The sequence below is a fragment of the Homo sapiens genome, chromosome 7 (genome assembly GCF_000001405.40).
Source record: "Homo sapiens chromosome 7, GRCh38.p14 Primary Assembly".
In the NCBI taxonomy this organism is placed as follows: Eukaryota; Metazoa; Chordata; class Mammalia; order Primates; family Hominidae; genus Homo; species Homo sapiens.
The window spans coordinates 18,442,095-18,469,931 of record NC_000007.14 but is presented as its reverse complement, the minus strand read 5'-3'; the positions used below and the strand labels follow the sequence as shown (position 1 = coordinate 18,469,931).

At 34.9% G+C, this 27,837-nt stretch overlaps 1 protein-coding gene across 8 annotated transcripts in view; it reads right to left on the bottom strand.

The window, feature by feature from the left end:
* HDAC9 (histone deacetylase 9) overlaps positions 1 to 27,837 on the bottom strand; it is a 915,592-nt gene that overhangs the window by 532,485 nt on the left and 355,270 nt on the right. The window contains exon 3 of one of the 8 annotated variants that reach the window (NM_001204144.3): positions 11,031 to 11,090. The exons of the other annotated variants lie outside the window; for them this stretch is intronic. Within the exon in view, the coding sequence (NP_001191073.1) occupies positions 11,031 to 11,090 (60 nt within the window). The remainder of the gene's footprint in view (positions 1 to 11,030; positions 11,091 to 27,837) is intronic. 8 annotated transcript variants of the gene reach the window in all.

The window sequence follows — 27,837 nt, the reverse complement described above, 5'->3', positions numbered from 1 at the left end:
TCCTCTCTGCTACTGGCTTATTAAATGCAAGAAAACACATCTGGGCGTCAAGCTGGGTGACATGATTTTACTCTCCTGGTTGATCTAACCTATGATTCGTTGTTTCTATAATATATAATATGAATGATTTACCTATAAGATCTGAGTTCCCCTGCTAAGCTGAGCTACATGCAGGAAGGAATTGTAACTCACTCATTTTTATTTTCACAATAACTAGGATCCTCCCTGCTACTTAGTAGGGACTCATAAAATGTTGATAGAATAAGGATAGAGAAAACCACTATACAGTTGTGTTCTTGCATGAGGTCCTATTTGTGGGAACTTTGTGAATTGCTCCCATTCATGAAATACAATGTGGTACCATTAGGTTGTTACTACTGAACACCTACACACTTTCTCTTGCTCTGTTAAGCTCCCTGTTAGATGTGTCACCATTTAAAATGTGCTTTTTTTTCTCGTTAATGTGAGTTTTGCAAGGTCAACCCACAGTTTCCCAAAATAACACTAGATCTGGTATTTCCCAGAAATAGCATTTACAAATATGACATTTAATACTGCTTTTTGATTTATGAGATCTATAATTGATGGTGAATAATAATATAAAGTTCCCATATTTGACCATGAAAATGTACTTTTCTTTCCCAAAGGGAAAGTAGCAGAATATTAAAAATAAGTTAACACAATTCTTCTTTCAGCACACAGCCAAAAGTTTTAAAAAATCACATACACATACATAGGTCCACAATAAAAAAATCTTAGCTCCTTCCCACAGGTTTGATTTAGTCACACTGGCCAATGGAGTAAAACTAGAAATCATAAAAACCTGGTGGCTATCTGTGGGAAAACCCAGAGGCCACCACAATTAGATGTGGGTCTGAATCAATGTAGAGTAGGTGATTATAAGACTTAGAGAAATGGCAGGATGAGTAAGATGCATGAATAAAAGTCTGAAGTGAGACAGATGACCAAGGTAACAATGATGTCATCCATCTAAACTCAAGGCTGACAATACAGAGATTTATCTTTTAAATTGATTTTTGTGTCTCTTGGTTTGTACTTATACCACAGTCTGGAGGCTCAGAGAATATAAAGAAATATCTGGCACTTAGAAATGGAAGACAACACAGGAATCATTCAACATTAAATAAGCACAATGATACTTTCTCATCTTTACAGATCCCATTCATTCATGAATTTATTTTTGCACAAAATACAAATTGATTTTTACCAGGTGCCAGGCTTCTCACTAAAATTTTAGAAGACCTGAAGCCCATACTCATGTAGTTTACATTCTATCCAGGAAAAGAGACATTTAAAAAATTAAGCTGGGCCAAGAGACACGTGCCTGTAGTCTAGCCACTAGGGAGACTGAGGAAGGAGATTCACTTGAGCCCAGGAGTTCAAGGCTGTATTACACTATGATCACACTTGTGAATGAATAGCCACTGCATTCCAGCCTGGGCAACACAGCAGGACCCCTCTCTTAAAAAAAAAAAATTACACCTTCCAATGGTTAAAGCTATAACAATTTGAGCAACAAAATAAAGTAGTATTGAATTGTAACACAAAGAATAAAATAAATATCCATGTGTCCACACTGATCTAAGTAAGTGGTTAAATAAATAAATGGAGAAGAGATAAATCTCCCATACAGAAGAATTCTAAATGATTTATGTAGATACCCTCTTCTCAAGGAGGAGTTTAAATTTCACCCCCTTGTTTATGAGTTGTGCTTAGTGACTTGCTTCTAAAGAGTGGAGTATAAAAAGGGAGAAAAAAGTAACTTTAAAGAAGTCTAGCAAACATTACCTCAGCCAAGTGGTCAAAGTTCACATCACCAGCGATAAGTCATATTGATATGTACCCTCTGCATCATTTGAGGGAAAGGTACTTCACCTCCATGATCTTTCTCTGAACACCTATAACCTAAGTCTAACCATGAAGAAAAAAACAGATATAACCCAACAGATGGAATTTTATAAAATATCTGAGTAGTACTACTCAAGATTTTCAAGGTCCTCAAAAACAAAGTCTGAGAAAATGGCATGGACCAGAGGAAGGCAAGGATATATATGATGGCCAAATGCAATATTGTATACCAGATGGAATACCGGAACAGGAAGAGGACACAAGGGGAAAACTATTAAAATCCAAATAAACTGTGGAGTTTGGGCAACAGTAATGTGCCAACGTGGGTTCTCTGGTTGTAATAAACGTAATATAGTGATATGAGATATTAACAACACATAAGGCAAAAAGAATGAGTAATATATGGGGACTGTAATATCTTGGCAACTTTTCTGTAAATCTAAAATTTTCAACAATAAAATGTTTATTTTATGAAGTTACATAATTTATCAATCATTTATAGTTACGGTAATATAAATGGCAAGTATAGAATTTTATGACAGCCCTGGGATTTGTGGAGAGCTTTTCCAAGAAAGTGACATTTATCAGAGGTCTAAAAGATAAGTATAACTTAGGCAAGAAAGCAGGAAAAACAACAAGAGTTGTTTCAGGCAGAGAAAGCAGCAGAGGCCTGGAGTGAGATGGAGACCAGTATATATGATAGTGAGATAAACTGGAAACATTCAAAGGATAGTTGATAGGAAGCATTAATAGGTCAATGACTGATAGAGGTAGGGTATGAGGGAGAGGGAAATATCAAACATGATTACCACATTTCTGGTCTGTATAACTGACTGGGAATGTGAGTCCATTAACTGACAGAGAACAAAGAGGAAAGATCAGTAAGTTTGGAATGTGTGAGTAGGGAAGAAGACGGTGAGATATTTTGGCCTTATTAAAGTTTATTTGACTGTGAAACATCCAAACAGGAATGCCAAGTAGGTAGTTTTACAGATGGGTCTTGTGGGCAGATAACAGATTTGAAAGTCACTGGTGTATAGACAGTAATTGAAGCTCTTTGAAAAAATAAGAGTGCTTAGAGAAAGAGAAAATAGTCAAGCATAAGAATGAATAGATATTTTATAAAAGAGGGAGGGAAATTATAAATGGTAGAAATAAGGAGATTGAGAAGAATAAGGTTTCCCTGAAACAGACAGACGATCTTCAGAAAGGTAAGAAGGAGCATTCAGTGCATGGCAGTGGGCAGACCACAGATTGTGGCAGGCAGAATTTTTGACCACATGATTTTCACCCCCCTAGTCTTACTTCGTTGAATGTGTTACACTACATGGCAAAAGGGAATTAAGATTGCAGATGGAATTAATGCTTTAATTAGCTAAATTTAAAATAGGAGATTATCCTGGATTATTTGGGTGAGCCCAAGGTAATCACATTGTCCTTAAAAGTAGGAGAGGAAGTCAGAGGAGTCGGTCAGAGATGTACAATGATAAAGAGACAGAAGCAATTTGAAGTACGAGAGGACGTCTACCCAATATTACTGGCTTTGAAGATAAAGAAAAAGGGCTGTGGCCAGGCACAGTGGCTCATGCCTGTAATCCTAGAACTTTGGGAGGCCCAGGTGGACAGATCACTTGAGTTAAGGAGTTTGAAACCAGCCTGGGCAACACAGCAAAACTCATCTCCATTAAAAATACAAAAATTAGCCAGGTGTGGTGGTGCATGCTTGTAATCCCAGCTACTTGGGAGACTGAGGCAGGAGGATGGCTTGAGCCTGGGAGGCAGAGGTTGCACTGAGCTGAAATCACGCCACTGCACTCTAGCCTGGGCAAGAGAGTGAAACCCTGTCTCTAAATAAATAAATACATAAAAGAAATAGAGGTCACGGGACAAGGAAGGTGAGTAACCTCAAGAAGCTGCGAGTGGTCATCGTTAAGAACACAGTAGCTCATTCTTAGACAAAGAATTGAATGCTGCCACCAACTTGCATGAGCAACAAGCTGATTTCTCCCTTATAGCCTCCAGCAAAGAACATAGCCAATGTGCCCCACTAATACTTTGATTTTAGTCTGGTGAGATCCTTACTGAATTTCCAGATCACAAAACTGTAAAATAATAAATTGTGTTGTTTTAACCTGCTAAATTTATGTTAGTTCCTGATGGCAGCAACAGAAAATTAATATAACATCTAAATAGATATATCTCCACATTAGAAAAAGAAAGAGAGTCCATCACTGGATAAGGGATTTTTAACAAATTTACAAAAGATAGAAGTGGAAAGGGGTAGAAGCTTAGTAACTGATTAAGAAGATCAGACACAGCTATAAATTATTGTACTTTGGGAAAGAAATAAAGACAGAAGAATACAGACTTTAGTCTCAAAAAAAATCAAGGAATGAAAAGGCAACGGCTAATACTCAGATCTGAATGTATGAAGAGTTATTCAGATTCTGATTCCAAAAGAGTAGATCCTGCTCCTATTCCCACTCAGCAGAAACTAGCAGCCCAGAAAAAAGAGAGTGCATTTGTATTGTTTACATTCTGCTCTTTAAAAAATTATAAATGAAAGCTGCAAAATTCACAAACCCCACCCACCTCCACAGAAATCAGACTCTCTAATGTATTTCCTCTTTCTTAATAATGAATATATAATGAAGGATCACAGTGAAGGACTTTGTGGGGAAAGTAAGCAACATAAAAAGCAATATCAAAATAAACAGGAGGGAAATCAATAATAGATGAAATACAGATAATTCAAGAAATAAAAGAACCTATAAGCAATTTAAAAATAATGGGAATCTTTAGAAATATACAAGACTATGTTGCATCTATACAAGGAGAAGCAATATAAAATTAACCAACATAAAGCAAAGAACTTCAAGAAACTAAAAAAAATTTTAGAGTTTGTTAAAAGAGGAAATTGTACTTCATATAATGGCGTATCAGGTAAAAAGAATCAACACTTGTAGAAAGAACTAAAAAAGCTCTACAAATATTTTTAAAGGCAACTAAAACTGATGAAAGACATCAAGCTAAAGATCCTAAGTGCCCAAAATATCCCAAACATACAAGAAAGTATTAAAGGGATAAGATACAGGATAAGAAGGAATTCAGAGGAGTAAGCCTAAAATTTGGTATCACATTGACCCTTGGAAAGTTTAGTGATTTCAGAAAAGGTAGCTGAGAGGCTAAACAAAGGTTTGACAATCTACTAAATCTTAGAGGACATAAATTGAAGTCCAGAACTCACCAAAGAGGGGGTTATATCAAAACACTCTATGTAGGATTGAGACTCCAAGGTGTTATAACACAGAAATAAAAGGAAGCATAAAATATTCCTAGATAACATAAAAGACCACACTTGAATCATTTCAATCCCAGAATTTTGATTAAATTGATCCAGTATAGCAATACTGTATAGCAATGCTCCCTGTCATTTGAAAAATGACTTGTTAATTTCAAACAACATACTAGGCCTCACATTGTTTCTGAGAATTTTAACATAGAACATCTGACATGCAATTAAAAAATGACTAGGCATGTGAAGAGACAAGACAATCTGACAAAAATCAAGATGACACAGATGAACCTACAGGTAATACAAATAATGTGCTATCCAATGCAGATATTAAAATAAACATACTTAACATATTCAAGTAGGAAAAAGATGACTTTGAGAACTTTTTAAGCCACTACCTACCATTCAGAACTAAAAAATATGATGGTAGTTTGAAATCCAAATGTAGCTGTAATCATATTAAATGGAAGTGAATTAATACCACAATTTTAGAAGACAAGTATTTTCAGTCTGGACTAAAACATGCTGCTTAAAAGAAATTTTAAATATAAAGATATAGAAAGTTTGAAATGAATGAGAGATATACTATGCAAACACTAACCAAAAGAAAACCAGTGTAGTTAAATTAGCACCATAAAAAAGTACTATTAGATACAAAGGAAAATGAAATATGTTTAAAATAAAAGTCAAATAGACAAACAGACATGCTGGGAGATTTTAACATATTTCCCTCAGTAAATGCCACACAAGCAACAAAAACTTAATCACATGACTTCAAGTACATACAAATCCTTGAGGATAATTGACCAGAGGAGTCTCAACAAATTTCCAAGTATTAAAATCTGAGTATGTCCTATACCCCCAGTGGAATTAATCCAGAAATTCATAATAAATAATAAACAGATAACATCTGTGGGTTTGACAAGTATTACACTCATAAGTCAAAAAGGGAATCAAATGGAAAACAAAAAATTATTTTATTTGGATGATAATAAAACTGGGAAAAACTAAAGCATAATATGCTGAGAGGAAAAACTACAGTTTTCAATATATAAAGGAAAACAAAATCAATAAGCAACCAACCACTTCAAAACTTAGAAAAAGAAATAAAAGTTAAACTGAAGGAAATTTTTTAAAAAGGTAACTGCAGAAATTATTTAAATAGAAAAAATATGCAGAACAAAGAGGTTCAGTAAATTCAAACAAATAATGCAGGAATATTAAAGGAGACTTCAAATATAATAGGATTCTCCATTATAAAAATAAAAATGGAAAATTTAGATACAAGGGACTAGCCAAACATACACAACTGACATATAAGTAAATAGAGTATTTGAATAGTCATAAAACAATTTTTAACAAATCTAACCCATAATTTAAAACCTCCCCTTGCCCCACACACACACCTGCAGGCACAGACAATTTTATCAGTAAACTGTTGCAAAACTTTAAGGAAGAAATAACACCACGTTCTTCCAGAAAAGAGAAAATACTGAATAACTCATTATGTGGGTATATCTTGGCGCCAACTCTAATAAGAGAATTTCAAGATAGGAAAATTACAAACTAATCTCATTCGTAAACATAGAGACTAAAATCCTAAACAAATGTAAGAAATAAATCCAGAAATAAGTTAAGGATGAGTTCAATTTATTTCAGTTATAGGACTCTTCAAGAAAAATTTTAATTAAAACTGAAACTATATACCCAGTGGCATAGCTAAAATTACAAAACTGTGGACACCAAGTATGGACAAGGAATTGGAGTGACCAGCACTCTCATACAGTACCAGTAGGACTATACATTGGCACAATCACCCTGGAAAACTGTTCAATATTGAGTATTAAATTTGACTATATTTATATGTTATCCTATGGCATATTAATGGCATATAAAGTTTTCCCTATGCATAGGAAAAACAGCAATAATAAAAACACTATTAAACATGATCAAAACTGGACACACCTAAACACCCATCAAGAGTAAAGTGGTAAGTAAATTGTCATATATATTCACAGTCATGGAGTAGATATTATACAGCAGTAAAAATCAACAAACTAAAGTTATAAACGACATTGTGAATCAATCTCACCAACTTAAGTTTGAATAAAAAGGCCAGTCACAAAAGAATATATACAATATCATGATATTTTATACAGCATAAAAACAGGCAAAATGAAACAAAAACACTGATAGAAATCAAGATAGAGATTACCTTTGGGGAAGAAGGTTGGATTGGGGTTGGGGTTGGGGGCTTGCTTGCTATAATTCTAATGCACTGGCATTATTTTATTTCTTCATCTGGGGGTTAAGAACTAGAATATGTTCATTGAGCATTTTCTGTATGAGGGTTTTAATTAAGAAAATAAATAAATAAAGGTTCCTGACTTTTAACAGCATTCTTAAAAATAATCGAGTAATAATGTGAACCTAGTGTCTGAGTAATTTTATAAAACAGTTCTATGAAGAGTGGATGAGAACCAGAAGCCTAGACAAAGGAAAGAAGCTAAGAGGCTGTGTGCAACAAACAATTCATTTATCAGAGATCAAATACTGGCGGGTGACTGTGAAGATGGAATTGCTTATAACATCATTATTTGAAGGTTAAAACATACTTTTATATGATAGTCATAATTTCCAGATGATTTTTTTTTAATGTTAAGACCAGAAGTTGTAAACTCTGAGTTTTATAACTATTTAAAGGAGATAGATAGTATTACATGATAACAAGAAATACTTAGTCAAAACATAACCATTTACTAATTTAGTGATCACGACCACACTGCTCAGTTTCTCCAGGCCTCTGTTTTCTCATCCTCACATTTGGGAGGATGAAATGAGATAATCTATGTCAGCTGTCTAGCTGAATGTCTGGTACATAAGATGCATCCCTTACATGTAAGCTACATTATCATCATAGGAAACTGACTAAAGTCATATTAGTTTAAACACATTTTTAGTGTAACAGTTTAATCAAATATTTCATCTAAATGTTTATTTAAAAAATCTAACAGTAACACAGTGATCTTAAAATAATTAAGGGAGATCTCTGATCAGATGCTGCCCTGGAGATAAAGGTAGGCAATGACAAAAGTGACAAAGTGACAACTTCAGTCCAAATTTGCCAGTAAAAAATATGATGGTTTTTAACACGCAGTTGCTTTTCCTAGTACTAATTTCAGTGTTATATTTACATAATAAAAAAGAAATTGTATTATTAGAGAGCATAATACAGCTGCTAACAAAATGAGGGGCAAATGTCACACTACCAGGTTACAATATTATAAACATTTTAGGAAATATTGGATATGACCAAAACTTTTTAAGCATTTTGGACTTTTAAAAAAATTGTAAGCAAAATATTTTAGTATCATTCAATTTTACAATAAACACTTCCACTAAAATTCTCCCTTTACCATTTTAACTGAAACTTAATCCCAAATTACCAATATCTACTTAAGCATTACATAACAGATTTTTATTTTTAAATTTTATGAATTTTGTAATAGGATCAATCTATGTCAAAAAGGGTTAGGTTTGCATTCTAAAAATCAATTAAGTACTGGTTTCCAACATTTAGCCTTTTTTTTCTGACTGAAAAGTCTGCGTATGTCTGAGAGAAATATATGTGTGTATGTATGTATACGCATGCACACGTACACATACGCAAGATTTGTTGTAGGCTTCTTTTGCCTAACTTTGTTATTCTTTTCCACGGTTAATAGGCTTCCCCACAGAAAGAGTGCCGCTTATTTAATTTTCTTCTTCTGGCTTTTTTACTCTTCTCTAGAAATCATTGCTTATTTTCCAGAGCCTATTAAATAGGTTGAGTTGCAAAATGTTAGTCACAGTAGATCATTAGGTTGTTTTAATAATTTTTCTGCTCAATCTACCTTACAGGAAAACATAGTCTTTCCCTTCAAATACTTTCTATTTGGGTTCAGGATAATCCACTCCTTTTTTTTTTTTTTTTTTTTTTGAGACAGAGTTTTGCTCTTGTTGTCCAGGCTGGAATGCAATGGCGCGATCTCAGCTCACTGCAACCTCCACCTCCTGGGTTCAAGGGATTCTCCTGCCTCAGCCTCCCGAGTAGCTGGGATTGATTACAGACATGTGCCACCACGCCTCGCTAATTTTGTATTTTTAGTAGAGATGGGGTTACTCCATATTGGTCAGGCTGGTCTCCAACTCCCAACCTCAGGTTATCCACCCGCCTCAGCCTCTGAAAGTGCTGGGATTACAGGCGTGAACCACTGCACCTGGCCCCAGGATAATCTACTCTTAATACAATAGAATGAATTCGAATTCCATAAAATACAGAAACCTTTGAATTTTGGTCCTCAAATGCAGTTGCTATTTACCATAATTCTACAAAATTTTATATAATTGAAAAAAATATTGTTTATTCTGCCCTGAAACCAAGCTTAGCCCCTGTCAAAAGATTTGTTTCCTCTCTATAATTCCACACAGGTTAAACTACAAACACAAGTACAAATAATGCTATAAATTATCATCAGTATGGTGATGGGCTGGAATTATACCTTCTACTCATGAACAACTATGATTATTAGAAGCAAACATAACTTTGGGAGGCTGAAGCAGGAGGATCACTTGAGGCCAGGAGTTGGAGACGAGCCTGGACAACACAATGACATCCTGTCTCTACAAAAAGTCAAAAAGATCAGTGGTGCGTGGTAGTACATGTCTGTAGTCCCGGCTACCCAAGAGGCTGAGGTGGGAAGATTGCCTGTGCCCAGGAATTTGAGGCTCCAGTGAGCCATGGGTGATGAGCAGAACCTCTGTCTCGAAAAAAAAAAAAAAAAGCAAATCTGTAGGCTAACATTTCCAAAACCCTTAACTTCATCCATAAGCAGTATGCAAACTGACTATCTGAAATACTTGATATAAGAAAAGCTTGATATTTAAAGTGGAATAGATGGATGCCTTTCTTAAATATGAGGACAGGAAGAAAAGCTGTAAGAAAACCAAAAGGGAATTTCCTTTCACTTTAATAAGGAAGTTATATGATGTAGCCCAAGGGGACACACTATCCTTAGAGAACTCTACTAGGCTCCAGCATAATCCCCCAAATCTACACTTGCAAATGTTAATTTGTAATTTGAATACCATGAAAATTAAATCATCACCCCAGGCAGGACGATTTACTGGCAAGGGAGCAAAAATTGAAGGCTAAGGGCTGTTTTCTGTGGTTGCCATTAGTCAATTACAGTCAGTCAAAGGAAGCTTACATTACCTGTTATAAAATTGCTTCCCCAGAAGACAAATGCTTTAAAAAAAAACTAGAAAAATAAAGCATCTGAGCATGTAAACTACCAAAATGCTATTTATTTACTCACCATTTTTGTAGAAAATTTTTTCACTTACCAGTTTAATATAATTTTATGCTTTCCTATCAAATTCCCACTCCACTATAGTATCCTTCTATTACACTTTTCTGGGAAGAGGAGTTAATTCTTAGCATTTTAACCTCAGTCTGGTTTATCTGTTAAAACTTAGTAGGAAGTAACAGATATCAGGCAGTTGTGGCTAAGGAGAGGAAGGAATGCAGGGGCCTAAGATAAAAAATTATAACACGAGTAGAGAGGGGTAAAAAGACCCCAAGATATGTCTAATCGATCTGAGTTTTGCCCAGCTGGTAACCTGCTGGTAACCTGCTTCTCTGACTCATGCCAACTCCGAACAGCAACCTCTTGGTCAGTAGCCCGTGGCAAAACTGGGTCAAGCATATCTTGGCCAAGTTGTTGCTGACCGCAGCTTTGACCAATAGCCTGGAAAAGGAAGTCACCCACTCATGTTCAGCTCTACTCCCAAGAAACCAAAGAAAAAGGATAAGGTCTGGTTCTACCTGGGAAGATCCTACAGCAGCCACAGAATAGCACCCATGGTACAAGGTTCCACATGAGGTCTGTGGGGATAAGAAAGTCAGGTTGAAGAAGGAAGGACCCTCCATGGGAGTTGGAGTGACAAGCAAGAGCCACCACCTCCAGCTCTCTCTTTGTTACTACTCTGAGTAGAGGTCTACAGCTTATCATTTATTAATCGAAGTTTTGCCTAGTTAAGCCACAAAAAAAAGTTTTGATAGCAAGATATTATTTTGTGACCTTTCGCCATGATACAGAACACTGCAAAAGGAAACCAAAATTCATCAGTTAAAACACAGTAGCATTGGCTATGAACTTTTAAATAAATTCAATCTTTGTGAATTGTTATCCAGTACTTAAAAGGACAATAAATCTTACTTCCTTTGGAAACAAACTACAAGAGTATTAATAATATTAGTGGGTTACTACTGGTTTTAGCACAAACTCATCTGAATTCTATATTTATTGGTATAGCTTGGAGGTCACATAATTAGAGGGTTTTTTATGGTTTCCTAGTAACCATTTTCTATCAGAAGCATTAGCCATAGTTCACATATGCTCATCTAAGTTACCAAGCCTAAAAGAGCTCTCCTCTTGCTCATTAGATATAATGCTGCCTAGTTCAGGTTTTCATTTCAATACATTCTTTTCATCATTTTCACCTGTGAATTCTGGTCAACCATCCACGATTTAATTACCAGCACCCTGGCACTGAGAGGGTGAGCGTCTCTTTTGATAATGCAACACTTCCCTGGGGCAAAATGCCAAAGAGTTGTCAGCACAAAGGCACCTACTCTTTGATGGCAAGGCAGCAAATGTCACAATACAACAAATATGATTCAGCCTTAACGTTTTTATAAAAACCAACCCCATCTGAGGCGTGTATGGCCATACACAACCTCAGATAGTGAGAAAGAACACACGAACCAGACTCTGTAGTGTCAGTGTGTGCATTTGCATACACGTGTGTGCTTCTGGGAACACATGCAGACTCTCTTTCAATGGAAGTGATCTAACTCCCATCTGGCAGAATAAGACCCATCCAGGAACAAGGAAAAATCAATTTAGAAAGTCTTATCACCTGAAAATAGGTGATTTCAAACACCATGAAGCCAGTTTAACAATACTTTTGACTAATCAACAAAATGAAGCTCTATGTAAACTATTTTTAAAAAACTCACTAATGCCTCAACAACATCAAATTCAGTTGATATGAAAGAAAATTAATTAGAGCAGACGTTTATAACCTACAGTTTATAAAACTATTATGGCCTATATGCAGAGATCAACCAATTTGTAAATATAATGGGTCAGCTGCACAGGGGCAGACAGCAACTAATCAGAAAGAAACTCTCAATTAAAAGTTTATGAATAATTAGATTATTTTTAAAACTATATTTTGTAACTAATTTTAAAAGTTAAATTAAAATTTTGAAGGCAAATCAAATTTATAATATCTCATGAATTTTATTTCTTCACAAATATATTCACTGAAGCAATTTTATTTCTTCACAAATATATTCACTGAAGCAATTTCCCTTTCAGTTAATGACAGTTCTATTTCATATTAAATTAAAAGAGTAAGGCAGTATAAGTTGATGGGATTGTCACTGAGTGGTTCACTTGAAATACTGTAGGAAAAATGGGAGCAGAACTGCATGCACATTTTCTGGGATATGAAATGAAAAAAGCTTTATTCTCTTCTTTCTCATTAGCAAGGGTTAAGAAATGGACATGCTGAGTTAATCAAAATCTCTGAGATTCAACAAGTATCTCCAAGGAATCCTGGGAATGGAAATCTACTAGACTAAGGTCTCAGAAAAGGTAGGCACTTGAGCTCCACTGCCATCTTTCTATACCAGAAAACCTGAGTTTGAGGACAACACAATTTGTAGCAAAACTGAAGGTGGATAAAACTATGTGTGACTCCCGAGTATAGCTATATATAAAGCTGGTTCTACTTCCAGGGCCATCGTTTATGTGAGCCAATAAATACCCTGCAGCTATTTGAATTGGACATTTTTAACTTGGAACCAGAGTTCTGCATGGCACATCACTGCATATTCAATTTAGAAAATAAAAAACAATTTGAAAAATCTCTTGTGAACGAGGAACTTGCGAATCATCCCATTTAAGTAAGTACACAGTAAGGATTGTTATTCCCATTTTATAGACACAGGAAGAGAGGTGGTGTAGAGAAAATCATAACTGAAATAGAGAGGCCAAACCTTAAATTTAGTGTAATGTTATACATAATCTTATTTTCTAATATCTTCCATCAACTGTTTTTCAGGTTCATAAATCATATGAATGAAAGTGGTGAGTATATATAAGCTCAAAAACTAAAGGTGGGCTGGGCTTGGTTGCTACCACCTGTAATCCCAGCACTTTGGGAGGCCGACGTGGGTGGATACCTGAGGTCAAGAGTTCGAGATCAGCCTGGCCAGCATGGTGAAACCCCATCTCAACTAAAAATACAAAAATTAGCCAGGCATGGTGGCATGTGCCTGTGTCCCAGTAACTTGGGAGGCTGAGGCAAGAGAATCACTTGAACCCGGGAGGTGGAGTTTGCAGTGAGTGGAGATCACACTGCTGCACTCCAGCCTGGGCAACAGAGAAAGACTCTATCTCAAAAAAATCAACCAACCAACCAATCAAATCAAATCAAAAGTAAAGTTGGACAAATAATGCAAATGACTTAATTTATGGTAGAATGAAATTATTTTATCAAAATTTGTTCTAGCTCAGCTGTAATTATTTTACCTAATACGATCAGCAAGGAAATAAAATGTGCTGGGGACCCTATTTATGTAATATGTCATTACATTTCTATCCCAAGAAAATTTTAGAGATGGAAACTCACAAATATTTTAAGGAGTTAAATCTCCCTAGCAAGTAAAAAAGCTTCTTCTGTTTCTTTTAGAAATAATTTCCTTGCTTCTTTATTTTATCCTTTGGTTTCAATGTTTTCTGGTTATAGCTGATGTCAAGGTTGGCACTAATTGATGATAAAGGAACATTTTTAAACAGCAAGGAAAACACATTCTAAAGATGCTTTATAGCTTTCAGTAATCTAATTTGTGGGAAATGGAGAGAGGAGTACCACAGAGTGCTTTTCAATAATTTATGGTGGAGATTCACCTTCTAAATTTAGAAACATAATTTGTGACCCAACTGTGCTGTGAATCTATTGGTGTAATTAGATGGTTGGCTACATCCCCAACCCAGTCCATTCTTGCACTGTCTTCTGGGTGTGCAACAGATTTTGTGCTTCAATCCATCCTTTGGAAAATGATTAAATAAAAATCGTTCATTTATGTTTTTAAAATACGATTATAATCAACACTGAGACCTGGCTGGCAGATTCTCACTGTAAGAATTGTTCCTTCTCAGTTTGGAAAAAAAGATAAATACCAGTAACAAAATTCTTTTTCCATTTCATTTAAATGCTGTAATTATACAGGATTCTTCAATTGTGTAATGAAATCAATGTCCTGGCTAAAATTACACAAAAAAATGAGAAAAAGGGACAAGGATATCATAGCCATAAATATTTCCAGTAAAAGGTTTACAGGATTCTTTGGGTTTGACTTAACTTTTTTTTTAAAAGCTATTTCAAATATCAACTTGAACTTAAACTGAAAAAACAGAACTAATTTTATCTTTATTTACATGACTATATACAAGCTACAGAATATTAAGTTTCTTAGAGCAAACAGGAAGATATCTGGCTTTTTTACTACACTTATTTCTATGTCCCTGTCTCCTTTTTATTATCCAAATATTGGGCTTTAAATAAAGTAAAAAAATATTCAGTTTTCAAAAAGAAAAAAGAAAGAAAAAATCAAGACCAAAGGCAGCTGTGAATTATGTGAGACCTGTATGTTCAGAGACACCTTATTAGAAATCAGTTAAGATGACAGTAAATTCTGACGCCATCCTCCTCCATTTTTAGGTAAGACAAAGCTTTTATTTTGAATATTTTCCTCAGCAAGAGCCAAGATACACAATGAAAATTAACTTATGATGTTTTCCTTTACAAAGCTATAGAAAAATAATTATATTTAACCCCATAATTAGAACAACAAAACAGTTAAATAAAATTCATATAATTGGTTAATTATCCAATGCCACATTTTTTAGGATAAATGCTGAAAATAGCAGGTGCATAACAAGGTATAAGATAATTTTCTTTAGGGAATTAAAGAAAGTTTCTTGCTGTTCACAGGTTCTTCACATGGTGAGCAATAAGAAAAGTAAATAAATAAATTTTATTTTACCTTATAATGATGTATGTTTCTAAGTTGCTTTCAAGAATATATTATGTTGAGCTTACTCTAACATAAAGAAAGGATTTGGAATTAGAAACCCAAGTACTTGGGTTTGACTTCCAACTCCACTGGCTTTGTAAACTAGAGTAACTTGTTTAAATTTTCTGAGCCACAGTAGCCTTACATAGGAAGTGAAGACAGTACTTGACCTATTTATATTACCAAGTAAAGTATCTGAAAACATAACACTTTGCAAATTTTAAAGTGCTATTCAAATATAAAACACTGCTATTATAAAGTATTCTAGAGTTTTAATCTCAAAATTCGAGTGACCTACCTAAAATTATAAGATTAATTACACTGTCCAAGAAGAACTTCAATTTTTTGAGCCCAAAAGTAAAAAAATCTCTGATTTTGTAAATCTCCAGTATTTTGATAAGATTAATAAATGTATCGGACAATTCCTAGATCTTTTTTGTTACATCTAAGCTGGCTTTTAGTAATTCCATAATTAACACTTCAGAAAATTTTAGCAATTCTATAATTATTAATTTAGGCAATTATACTTTGGAATAATATGTCTGTTTTCGCATTAGATTATGAGGCTCTCAGTGCATAATCTAATTCCGAGAATATCTTGGTACTTGCTAAATAAATATTTCTGCAACTGAATTGAAAAGGAACAATTTCCCCATTTATTCAAGGCTCCTGAGTCCCTTCCCTTTTGTCTTTGGGCAATTCTAAATGAGACTCTGGTTTTCATCTGTAGATTGCTTTAGCAAGTGTACTGTTTGATTTAGATCATATTTATAAATATTGATAATTTAGTTCCAGATACCTGCATAAAATATCTGACATTTACTTATTTGTAATAATCTATACAAAAATTTTGGAAAATAATGTAATCTCTGTAGACAAATTATGAAAAACAAAACAAAATAAGTTATGATATTATATAGTATTAATGAACTAGCTAAACTAAATAGTTAAGGGAAGCTTTAGACAAGGATTAGCAAATATGTGGCACTTGTGTCACCACAACCTCCCAGGCACTAGTTTAGGCACTCCCAGATAAGCACTACTAATTCTTTTCCGACAAACCTCAGCCTCTTTCTTAACATAATACTCTAGGCAGCTACTGTGAATACTGTGAATTTAACATCCAAGGAAAAAAATATTTGCCTATTTATGTCTTAGGCTATTATGTGCTTGCAGCAGCCTATTAATGTATGTCCTTGATCTGTTTAACTAAATGGATTTTAGCTCCAGAATTAAATTCCTTCCCCCCACTTTTTTTAATCAATGCTGACCTTTGTGTACTTATCATCATTACACCTGGAAATAGGTTAATACTTTAGAATTAATACAGTATAAGAAATACATAAGAAGTAAGTGAAAACCTTCAGTAAATAAAAAGATAAATAGCACATTCCAGTCTTTTGAAACCACAGGCATATACAAAGCAATTTTTACCCTAACTACACAATTAGAGAAGTTCCTAAGGAAAATTCTGATTAGAAGATATAAATTCATTCAATGAATACTTTATAATTTATTTTATAAAAAGCATCACAGGAATAAGAAAAAAGCAAAATCATGGTAAACTTACATTGGGAAAAAAAGGTAACATTTTATTGTTTCCTTGATAGAGCATCCTAGTTTATATTATGTGTGTCCAAGTTTATATTATTGTATTAGTCTGTTCTAATGTTTCTAATAAAGATATACCCGAAACTGGGTAATTTATAAAGGAAAGGAGGTTTAAAGGAGTCACAGTTCCACATGGATGGGGAGGCCTCACAATCACAGTGACACGTGAAGGAAGAGAAAAGGCACATCTTACATGGCGGCAGGCAAGAGAGCATGTGCAGGGGAACTGCCCTGTATAAAACCATCAGATCTTGTAAGACTTATTCACTATAATGAGAACAGCATGGGAAAAACCTGTCCCCATGATTCAATTACCTCCCACTGAGTCCATCCCATGACATATGGGGATTATGGGAGCTACAATTATAGGTAAGATTTGGGTGAGGACACAGCCAAACCATATCAATTATATATTGATGCATCTAAGTCTGCATCTTATAAGACTGTTCACATGTTCTTTCTCTTTCTCTATGCAAATGGCAGGTCTTCCCACCTGTAGTTTCCCACAAAGGTCCTTTGACAAATCAAGCCCACACTCCAGGTTGTGACCCTCAATTGGAAGACATGAGCCTCAACTTCCAAGGCTCACTTCTGATATTTCTGCTTGTTTCCTCAGAGTGTCATACGCGTATGTGTTCTTACTGACGTATCCTGGACAATGTTCCTGCTGCCACTTCTATGTTATCCTTGGGCCACATTCTTAGTGCTCATTTTGGTTGTTCCTGGTCTTGAAAGATCACTACATGAGGCTCAGGGAGTGTGTGGCTACCACAGTTCAGCCTAGGATTCAGGTCACTTTGCTGTTGACCTTGGAATTCTATCTTGATAATCTGCCCAATGGCCACTCAAACTGCCCTGGCTAGCATCTCAAGGCTGCTAACTGAAGTTCAAATGCTGACTCCGGACTTCAGATGGATCCTACAGCAAAGTTACTTGAGACCTAATACTTTAGTGAAGTATCTGTTTTAGGTTCCACACAGTCCTTAACATCTGGGATATGGATCTACCATAACGATGGCTGAACTGGGGCAGATTTAGGTGACATTGCCATGCTGTTCCCAAAGCCATAATTCCCCTAGTGTCCAGGTGCCCTTTAATTCCAGGTCACTGAGCCAGACTCTTTTCTTTGAGTGAAGCTTTTCCTAGGGACCACAAACTCCTTCCTAAAATGTGCCGCCTGTTCTCCAAGCCATCTCACATCACACAGTTCACCAAATATGCCGATAGGGCTGAATAGCAAATGTTTCCCCCCACCCAACCCCCGCCGAAGCACCTCTATATCCACATAGATCAGTGGATACAAATAATATCCACATAAATCAGTGGATACCTCTATATCCACATAAATCAGTGGATACAATGCATCAGTGGATGCATTATATCTGGGAAATCCACATGTCAGATCTGTACTGTATAATTTCTACTCCTGGCCAATCGAGATTCTCCATTATTTATGCATATCTATCTAATGTAATCCAATATACTCACCTATATGTATGCATATATATATACATATACACACACACACACACACATATATATACACACACACACACATATATACACACACACACACACACACACACACACACACACGCACATATACATGTGTCTTGGTCCATTCAGCCTGCTATAACAAAAATATCTTAGACTGGGTAATTTATAAACAACAGAAACTTACTTCTCACAGTTCTGGGGGCTGGGAAGTCCAGAATCGAGGGGCTAGCATATTTATGTCTGGTGAGGGCCCATTCCTCATGGACGATGCTTTCTCTGTGCCGTCACATGATGAAAGGGCAAAGGGGCCCACAAGCTCCCTCAGGCCTGTTTCGTAAAGGCACTAATCCATTCTTGAGGGCAAGGCCATTCTGACCTAATCACTTTCCAAAGACCTTACCTCTTAATACCACCACAATGGTGACTAGGTTCCAACATAAATTTTGGAGGGGCACAAACTTTCAGACCACAGCGGTATGTATATGTATACATAACCTATATGTGAACATATATCCATGTAGAAACACGTATGACATTTGACATCTACTACTCTTTTCCCTTTGACACTTTCACCCTCATTTTCTATGTCTTGTTGCATAGCAGTCAAAAAGTAAATGTATGAGATATCTAAACAAACACTCCTTTCCTTCTGATTAAGAAGCTGACCAATCACAATATAATCTCTGAAGCTTCACCTCTTCCTAAAAAATAGAATAAAAAGTTTGGCATTAGCAATATTAGTTATAGTATGAATATGAAGAAACAATGAAAGCACAATTCCAAGTCAGACCTCTGAGTTCTGTAACAAAAGAGAAGCACTCTTGAAATAGGAAATAATTTATTTCTTAAAGTCTCAATCAAATGTGTTCACATGTGGCTAAGAGAAGAACAATATCAATAATGATAGAATCATTTATCAGACAAGCAAAATTACTAAAAGTGTCTGCCCTGTAACCAGAACTGGGAAAGGGGCGGAGACTAAAAATAAGTTTACAAGCTCTGTTAGAAATTCTTCTGCCGCTGAAATAAAGCCTTTTTGGAGACACCTTGTCTACCCTTTGCCAAAAGCAAAGGCTTCCATCAGTATTCATGGTGCTTATCATCTATCTTTAAAACAATGGCAAAGTTGGTGAATAAATATCAAAGAGCTAGGGTTGAATCAGTAATCACAGATGTTGATGTAATAATTAGAACCAGGCACTGTTATGTACCATTTAGTGTCAGTGAGTGAGCATTTCACAATAATCTTGCTGACTTTGCTTATTCTAGGCAATCAGAGTTGGAAGGACTTCCAAAAACATTAATTCATTCCACAGACACATTGAACAGCCCAATATTTGCCAGGCATTGATATCTTAGTCTGAGTCCACTTACTTCTCCCATAAGTGGCCATGCAGCCTCAACTCAAATATTTAATAGAGGTAGCATGATCTTTTGAGATACTTGTTTCATTTGTTAACACCTTTGTTAGAACGTATTTCAGTTGGAAATATTTAATGTCATGAAAAATGGCAAAAACAGAATAATAGGTGAAACATATTTTAAAAGTCTGATTCTAATTTTGTTAAATAGAAAAGACATGAGTATAGAGCAGAGGTATAAATTGGAGATTTTCATTATCTGAGATACTGCAAACAGATAATTAGTAAACTTAAATTTTATAATAAACTTGAGGAAGACCTTTCCTCAAAATTAAACAAAACATTTAAAAAGTATATTTAAATGTATCTTTAATAAAATTTTCAGTAATATTTATAACTCTGAGCTCCTTCTTTAATGGAGAAAGTATTTTTTGTGAAGGGTGGAAGAGCCATGGTGGGGAAACTTTTTTATTTTATGTAAACTTTTATTCCAGTGCTACATACATCCTGAAAAGCGGGCAAACCATAGGTGTATATCTTAGTGTATTAATATAAGTAAACACTCCCAATAAACCAGCTAGATCAAGAAAGAAAACATTTGAACACCACAACAGCACTCCTTGTGCCCTCTCTCATTAATACCCTCAAAGTAACTACTAGCCAGACTTTTAACACCCCATGTTAGTTTTGACCATATTTTTAACTTTATAAAAATTGAGTCATATAGTAGGCACTCTTGTGTTTGGTTACTTTCTTTCAGTATTATATTTGTAAGGTAAACCAATATTATTGTATGTAACAATGGCTCATTCTTTTTCATTGCTGTATGGTGTTCCATTACATGAATGTTTCATAATTTATCCACTCTAATTTTGAGGCACATTGCTCTCACTTTTTGGCTACTATAAATAGGGCTGCTACAAACATTCTTGTGCATGTACTTTTGGAAAACACATTTAGTGTAAACATTTCTATTGGATATGTATCTAAAGGTGTATGCAGGGTCTTAAGGTATACATACGTTCAGACTTACTTATTATAAAGTGTTTTGGGCTTAATTTTGCCAGCACAAAAAGGTAAGATTTTATATCACAGGCTTCAGTTTTGACAAAATACTCTAGGGCCTATTAATTGGCCCAAGAGCTTTTCTTATTCCTCTGACATGCAAATTATTCTATCTGCCCCGATTCTGTCACTTTATTATTATATTTTTAAGCATCTACTATGCCACAAATCTTGTAGGTTTGGTCTTCTTGAACTATCAACACATCAAATTCTACCAGAATTTCAGGAGCCTTGCAGTCCAAGTTGTTTTCCAACTCACTTTTAGCAATAAAATCCTGAATCCTTTCCAAAAAAACACAATTTGACTTTGCAAATTAATTTGTACCATTTTTGCAATATATTTTTGAAAGGAGTCTCTTCCAAATTGTTTTCAGAAATGAATAGGAAATTGACCAAAAAGGAAACTGATGGAATGGGTCCATTTTCAAAAGTGGAATATTTAAATAAAAAAATTATTACAAATGTTCAATTTACCATAAAATAGTTACGTTACCCTCTCTTCCCTATGCAATTTAATAACTGTTAGAAATCTAATAATTAATACTCAATTTGAATACAACCATACATATATAAAATCTTTAAAGAAAAGGTACCAAACCATTTCTTGGTTATGGGATCAAAGGTGATATTTTTTCTTTTAATGCTTTCTTGCATTTTGTACGATAAATATGCATTATTGTTATTAATATAAGCAGAACATATTCTTAAGGATTAAACTAAAATTGAACGTTGCTCTCCTTTCAACATCTACTCTTTGGTCTTAGTTGGCTTCATGTAGCTATACAGAATAAATTTAATGTGTTTCCCACATAAGAGTTTATGGAATAATTTATAACAATCACAGTTGTCTCTTTTTCACAGGAGAATACCTCCAGATCGCCAGGCATGGTGGCTCACGCGCGTAATCTCAGCACTTTAGGAGGCTGAGGTGGGTGGATCACTTGAGGCCTGGAATTGGATTTGGAGTTGGAGTTGGAGTTGGAGACCAGCCTGGCCCACTTGGTGAAACCTCCTCTCTACTACAAATACAAAAATTAGCCAGGTATTGTGGTGCACGTCTGTAATCCCAGCTATTAGGGAAGCTAAGGCAGGAGAATTGCTTGAACCCAGGAGGCAGAACTGCAGTGAGCAGAGATCATGCCACTCCACTACAGCGTGGGTGACAGGGTCCTCTATGATTTAACCACTCCCCTTTGTATACGCTCTAGTTGTGTTCTTTCAATTGTATATTCTAATAGGAATACATACACTATAGGAGCCAAAGGAGTTTTTAAGCAATCAAATTCATAGATTTCACAAAATGTATGCCAGTCTTCTGAGATGTATATGACAGTTAACTATAAAGTTCTTGCTACAATATTCAGCCTGGATAATAAAGCATAGTTAACAAAAACTCTGAATACAGATGTTTTAGGTATTGGTGAAAATAATCTCAACTTTATAAATTAAATTTGCATGACTAAGATCATTAATCTGATGTATTTCAAATTATAACCTACACATGAATAAAAGGAATTATGGACGTGGCTGCATTTCTGTTTTTCCTCTACATGGGCTAACAATACAAATGGCTCCACAACAATATAATAAAACTAGACACATCTCAAGGTCTTCTGTTTTATAAGCAGCATAACTTTATTGGTTTTATTTTTATCTCTGAAGTAAAAAAATGGTAAATGAAAAAGGTTAATATTAGTGACCATAATTGTGGTAAGCGATATATAAGTGTTTCTGTAAAATATAAAAAATATATTAAAATAAAGTGTGAAATATTTCTTCACATGGGGGTTATTTTAGGTGTCAGTATATTTCATCATAAATAATTTTAAACTCTCTGTTATTTTTTGTTTTCACACCACTGACTCATATCTAGATTTGGATTTTTTAAAAGGTCAATGATACCACAGATACACTAGGGCCAATAAATATTTCCATTATTTTAAAGACGTCAGTAATCCTATCTTATTTTTAGGGTTGAAAGAATCTATCAAGATGGGAATTCAACATTTACCCAAATATTCAAAACTTTTTGTTTTTAATGTAAAGCTCACATGGTCACAAGCATTTATTGATTAGCATATACTTAGATATACGTTGAATCTTTTTTTCATAGTAGTGAAAAATTTTAGAGAAACTAAATATCCAACCTTAGGAAAAAAATTAATCATGTTACACTTACATTGTGGATAATGTACAACTGTGGATAATCTGTTGAAAGTATTTATAGCTTTTAACACAGAAGGCAGCCCTTGATATTTCCAAGTTTTTTTCAAAAAATGCATCTTGCAGGAAAATATATGTTGTTCTCAATGACACTTGGAATATATGTTCTACATCTACGCACACACAAAAGAACGTGTATATTTGTAAATGCATAGCAAAAAGGTTGAAAAAAACTATATCAACAGTGCTTTTGCTGAGGATGTGGACATAGAGGCAGAAAGACAGTTTCACTTTTTAAAAAACAGCTTACCCATAATATATTTGAAAACAATAAGCAAGTATTACTTTTGTAATTAAAAAACCTAATATATTTGAATATACGTTATATGAGAAGCAGCATTAGCAAAAAGGAAAAGATTCAACTCAAAAGTGTATCCCTAAACCTTTCCCAGTTTTCAAGTCCTGTCAAATCTATGCTCAACACTTTCTTCTTTTAAACCCACCCCCCGACTAGGCATGAGAAAGAACAGTGACCAATGCTGATGCATGGCTGGGTTTAAAGCAGTGATGTCATACACACCAACCTAGAAAACCATGAATATAATATCTGAATATGACAATAAACTATTTATTTTTGGCCATCTTCTGAATTCCAAATTAGATACAGTTCTCTCACTTTAGTGGAAGTTCTGTGTGTGTGTCTGAGAGTGTGGGAGCCAACAAAGGGTAGTGTTTGTCCCACTGAATTTAAATGTCTCTGCACATTATCCTCTTTGCTGGCCAGACGACAAAGGCCTTTGCCAGCCCTACTCTCTTTAAATAGAGACCTACACTTTTTAAATAGAGCTTACTTGTTCCAGAGAAAGGTTTTCTTTCCTTGTGCTCAAATTTTGTTCTTTAAGGAGCAAATGAGTGTCTATGTCATCAGCAGCTCACGCACAATCCTAAGATATGTTTGACTTGTAAACCGGTTTTTGTTCAAAAGGTTAAATAGAAGTCTTCTTTTAATTCTCTGCTTTTATTTCTAGCACCTAATGAAAAGGTCAAACCATTTTCAGGATATTTTCAAATATTGCTGTCAACTATCTTTTTGGCTGATTTAACTAACCATGCATAAAAGGAGGTTTTTGATTCAGGCAAGCTGAAGTTTCAAAACATTGTTTTCATGGCTATCTATAAACAGCTCTGCCTCGGGGCATTTGGGAATAGATAGGCCTGGTTATAACATACAGGAGAGCAATTACTGGCACTGATAAACAGTACTGGGTTTAACTTTTCATTAAAATTGGCTCCGAAAATTCTATGAACATTAATTGATATCACAGGTAATTCTTTCAACAATGGAAGATGCAATCTGAAACAATCACAGAGGCCGCTCAGCCCCTACATATTTCAGCATTAAATTTTGAGTACTTTGACAATATAGTTAGGGATATTATTTAATGAGCAGAAAATTATTATCCTCTTGATATGTCAAGTTGATTAACACTATCATAAAAAAATATAAATATATAAGCAAATTATTCAACTCATTGAAAAATAGCCTATAGTAGAAAACTATAGTCATCAAAAAAGTTAACTCAATGTAATTAGATTTATTTTACTACTTAAAGGAAGTTTTGAGTTGAGCTAATAGAACTAACTTTACCTTCACAATTACTAAAAGTTGATTACAGTTGATTAAGTAGGTAATCTGTTGCCATGATATGACTATTGTCTTAAGAAAATGTGTAATTCAATTTTCTGCAGCTGTGAATTCTTGTTTCGTTTATTTGGTGAATGCAAACTCCTGCCTTTCTATAAGACAGACAATGGCCACTATGCAGGAATTTTTCAGGCCATAGTATGATAAAGCTCTTGCATAATTTGAGAAACTCACATGTACCTCCCATTTCCAGCCCTGGGTCTTAGATCACTTGTATATTCTAGGGAAATTTAGTCACTAAATGAAAGAGATGAGAAAGATAATATTTTCTATTGCTAGTACATAGAAACTAAATACAAAGATTATAAATAGCTTGATGGTAATGGTACTTGATGGTAATGGTCAAGAACAGGCTTAGTAAGACCTTACTTTGAGAAAAATGACAATACAACAGTGTTATCAGTCAACCAATGCGAAAATTTATATTCTGGTGCAAAACATGTATCTTAACATTGGCACTTTTTTATTTCGGTATTCATGCCTCCTTTGGGCGTAGCATACTATAAAGAACTATGAAACTATAAACCTGTGGGGAAGAAAAAAGTTCTGGCAAAATAAAATAATGAGACTCCTTTGTATCTAGGATACCATCAACTCATCCCATATGCTTAAGAAAATGAATGTATTTGGAAATAGCCATTTAAGTACTAAGATGAGTATGGGATATACAGTGGTCGGGGGATAAAAAATACTAATCTACCTTTCCCCTTTTATTTACAAGATATGTAACTGAGTGTGTAGAAAATACAAACTGAGATGTCTATTGAGACATGTACTTCATTATTGATGTTGATAGCACATCACTCTTTTTTTTTTTTTTTTTTTTTTTTTTCAGACAGGGTCTCACTCTGTCACCTAGGCTGTAGTGCAGCATTGGCATGATCATGGCTTACTGCAACCTCCTTCTCCCAGGTTCAAGCAATTCTCCTATCTCAGGCTCCCAAGTAGCTGGGACTACAGACACACGCCACCACGCTTGGCTAATTTTTGTATTTTTAGTAGAGAAGGGGTTTCACCATATTTGTCAGGCTAGTCTTGAACTCCTGACCGCAGGTGATCAACCCACCTTGGCCACCCAAAGTTCTGGGATCACAGGCATGAGCCACCATGCCCAGTTGCAAATCACCTTTGTTAGTAGTGGCCAGCATGAAACTTTTCTCCTTCAGATAGACAGATACATACATACACACATATATGCTTACATGCATACATACATATATACATACATACATACATATATATACATATATATAATACAAATGTATGTTTATACAAATGTATATACAAATGTTATACAAATGTATATATGTTTATACAAATGTATATACAAATGTTTATACAAATGTGTATATATATATGTATATATATACACACACACACAGAGAGGGAGAGAAAGAACATAATGTTTGTGTGTGTACAAATTAAAACGGGTTCTACTGTCATCCAACACATATTTATGATCTTGAATTCTATTTTACAAATGAAGGGTGGTACTCTGCTATTTAACACAAAGAGTTAAATATTTAGTTTTAAACCAAATATTCATATATAAGATGTCTTGAGGGTTTACTAATATTCATCCCCTGAGGATCTCCTCACTGTTATAAGAGCATAACATGTTTTTTAGAATGGACCATAACTAACAATTGAAAAGACAAGACTTTTTAAAAACTATTCACCCTATGGTATAATTAGTGCTTACTTCTTGTTGATTTAATTCTATTTACTTTTATGAGGTGCATGTGTGTTCTTCCTAGAACACACCCAGTTTCCAATCTGGTATTTACAAGAGAGGTGAGACTACTTACCCATTGGTCTTCTTTGGTGTAATTTTCTAGCAAAGCAAATACAGTTACATTTAATCACTAGATAATTTTCCCCAATCATGTTGCCACGTACACAAAATTAATGATAAAATATAATTTATCTAATCCCTGTGGAAATTTATAATCATAAGCAATAAGAGGTATTTTCTTCAGAAAAAAAAACTCAAGTCAATAAGCCAATTTAGGTCAAAGTAGGTCTTCACCATTCCTGGCTAGTTTATGATTACTGAGTTTGTTTCAATTCAGTGGAAGTGGATTTGTATCAGGGCAGAGACTACTATTAATTCTCTTTCTGTTTATGATACCCTAGCAAATCAGTAGCTCCCATTGAGTTGTGTTGTTTTGAGAGAATAATTCAGATTATTAGGAGTCAATCAGCTATCAGCCTGGATGCCTAGGCCATCCACTGTAGTTGAAGCCCCAAATATAGCCCCTTGTGATCTTATTAGACTCACAACAAAGTCACCTTCCCTGTTTGAAGCTGTGCTTTTGTGGTTGGGCTAGGACTGAATATTCCTCTGGGGAGGTAGACAAACCAGCTGCTAATTAACCAGGCGCTATCTTGACTATCCAACCACTGAAAACCTCAGAGAGAAGAAAAAATACAGCTTTTCCATGACACTAGAGTCTAAAGAATTACAAATAGATATTGTAAAGTAGTAAGACAGTATAAACTCCTTTCACTCAAAAAGATAAAATTTAATACAGACATAGGTCAGTTCAGATAACTCTGAGGACAACTGTAGTACAGTATTTCAGACAATGGAGGATCCAATGCAGGCTAAGATATCCGACTGATTTTGGGCCTCCCTAATGGAGATAAAATGAGCATATGAATACATTAAGCAAAGATTGGGGAAAGGTGGAGAGGGAGATGTACCATGATAGCATGGAGTGGAAGTCTCAGCTTTGAAGGAATGTGAGTCCGGCAACTGGTGGGGAAATAAATATTTGGTCACTTCTATTGTCTCAAATTTATTTCCAAGCATTAATATGAATCTTAAGGCTACAACAAAATAATGTATCTTGTAAGAGAGATGAATGGACAGGAAAAAAAATTAGAAGTCTTCCCAACCACTCTTATACATAGGGGTAGAAAATGCTCAATGTTGACCGGAAAGAAATCCTGTAAATATGATGTCAAAACATTGTCATTGGTAGTCATCTATCATCTGTAGGTTGCTCTGACTTTGAAGAATCCCTGCATTGGGAATTGAAAATCTGTGAAAACTAATTTCCCCTCTATGTCACTG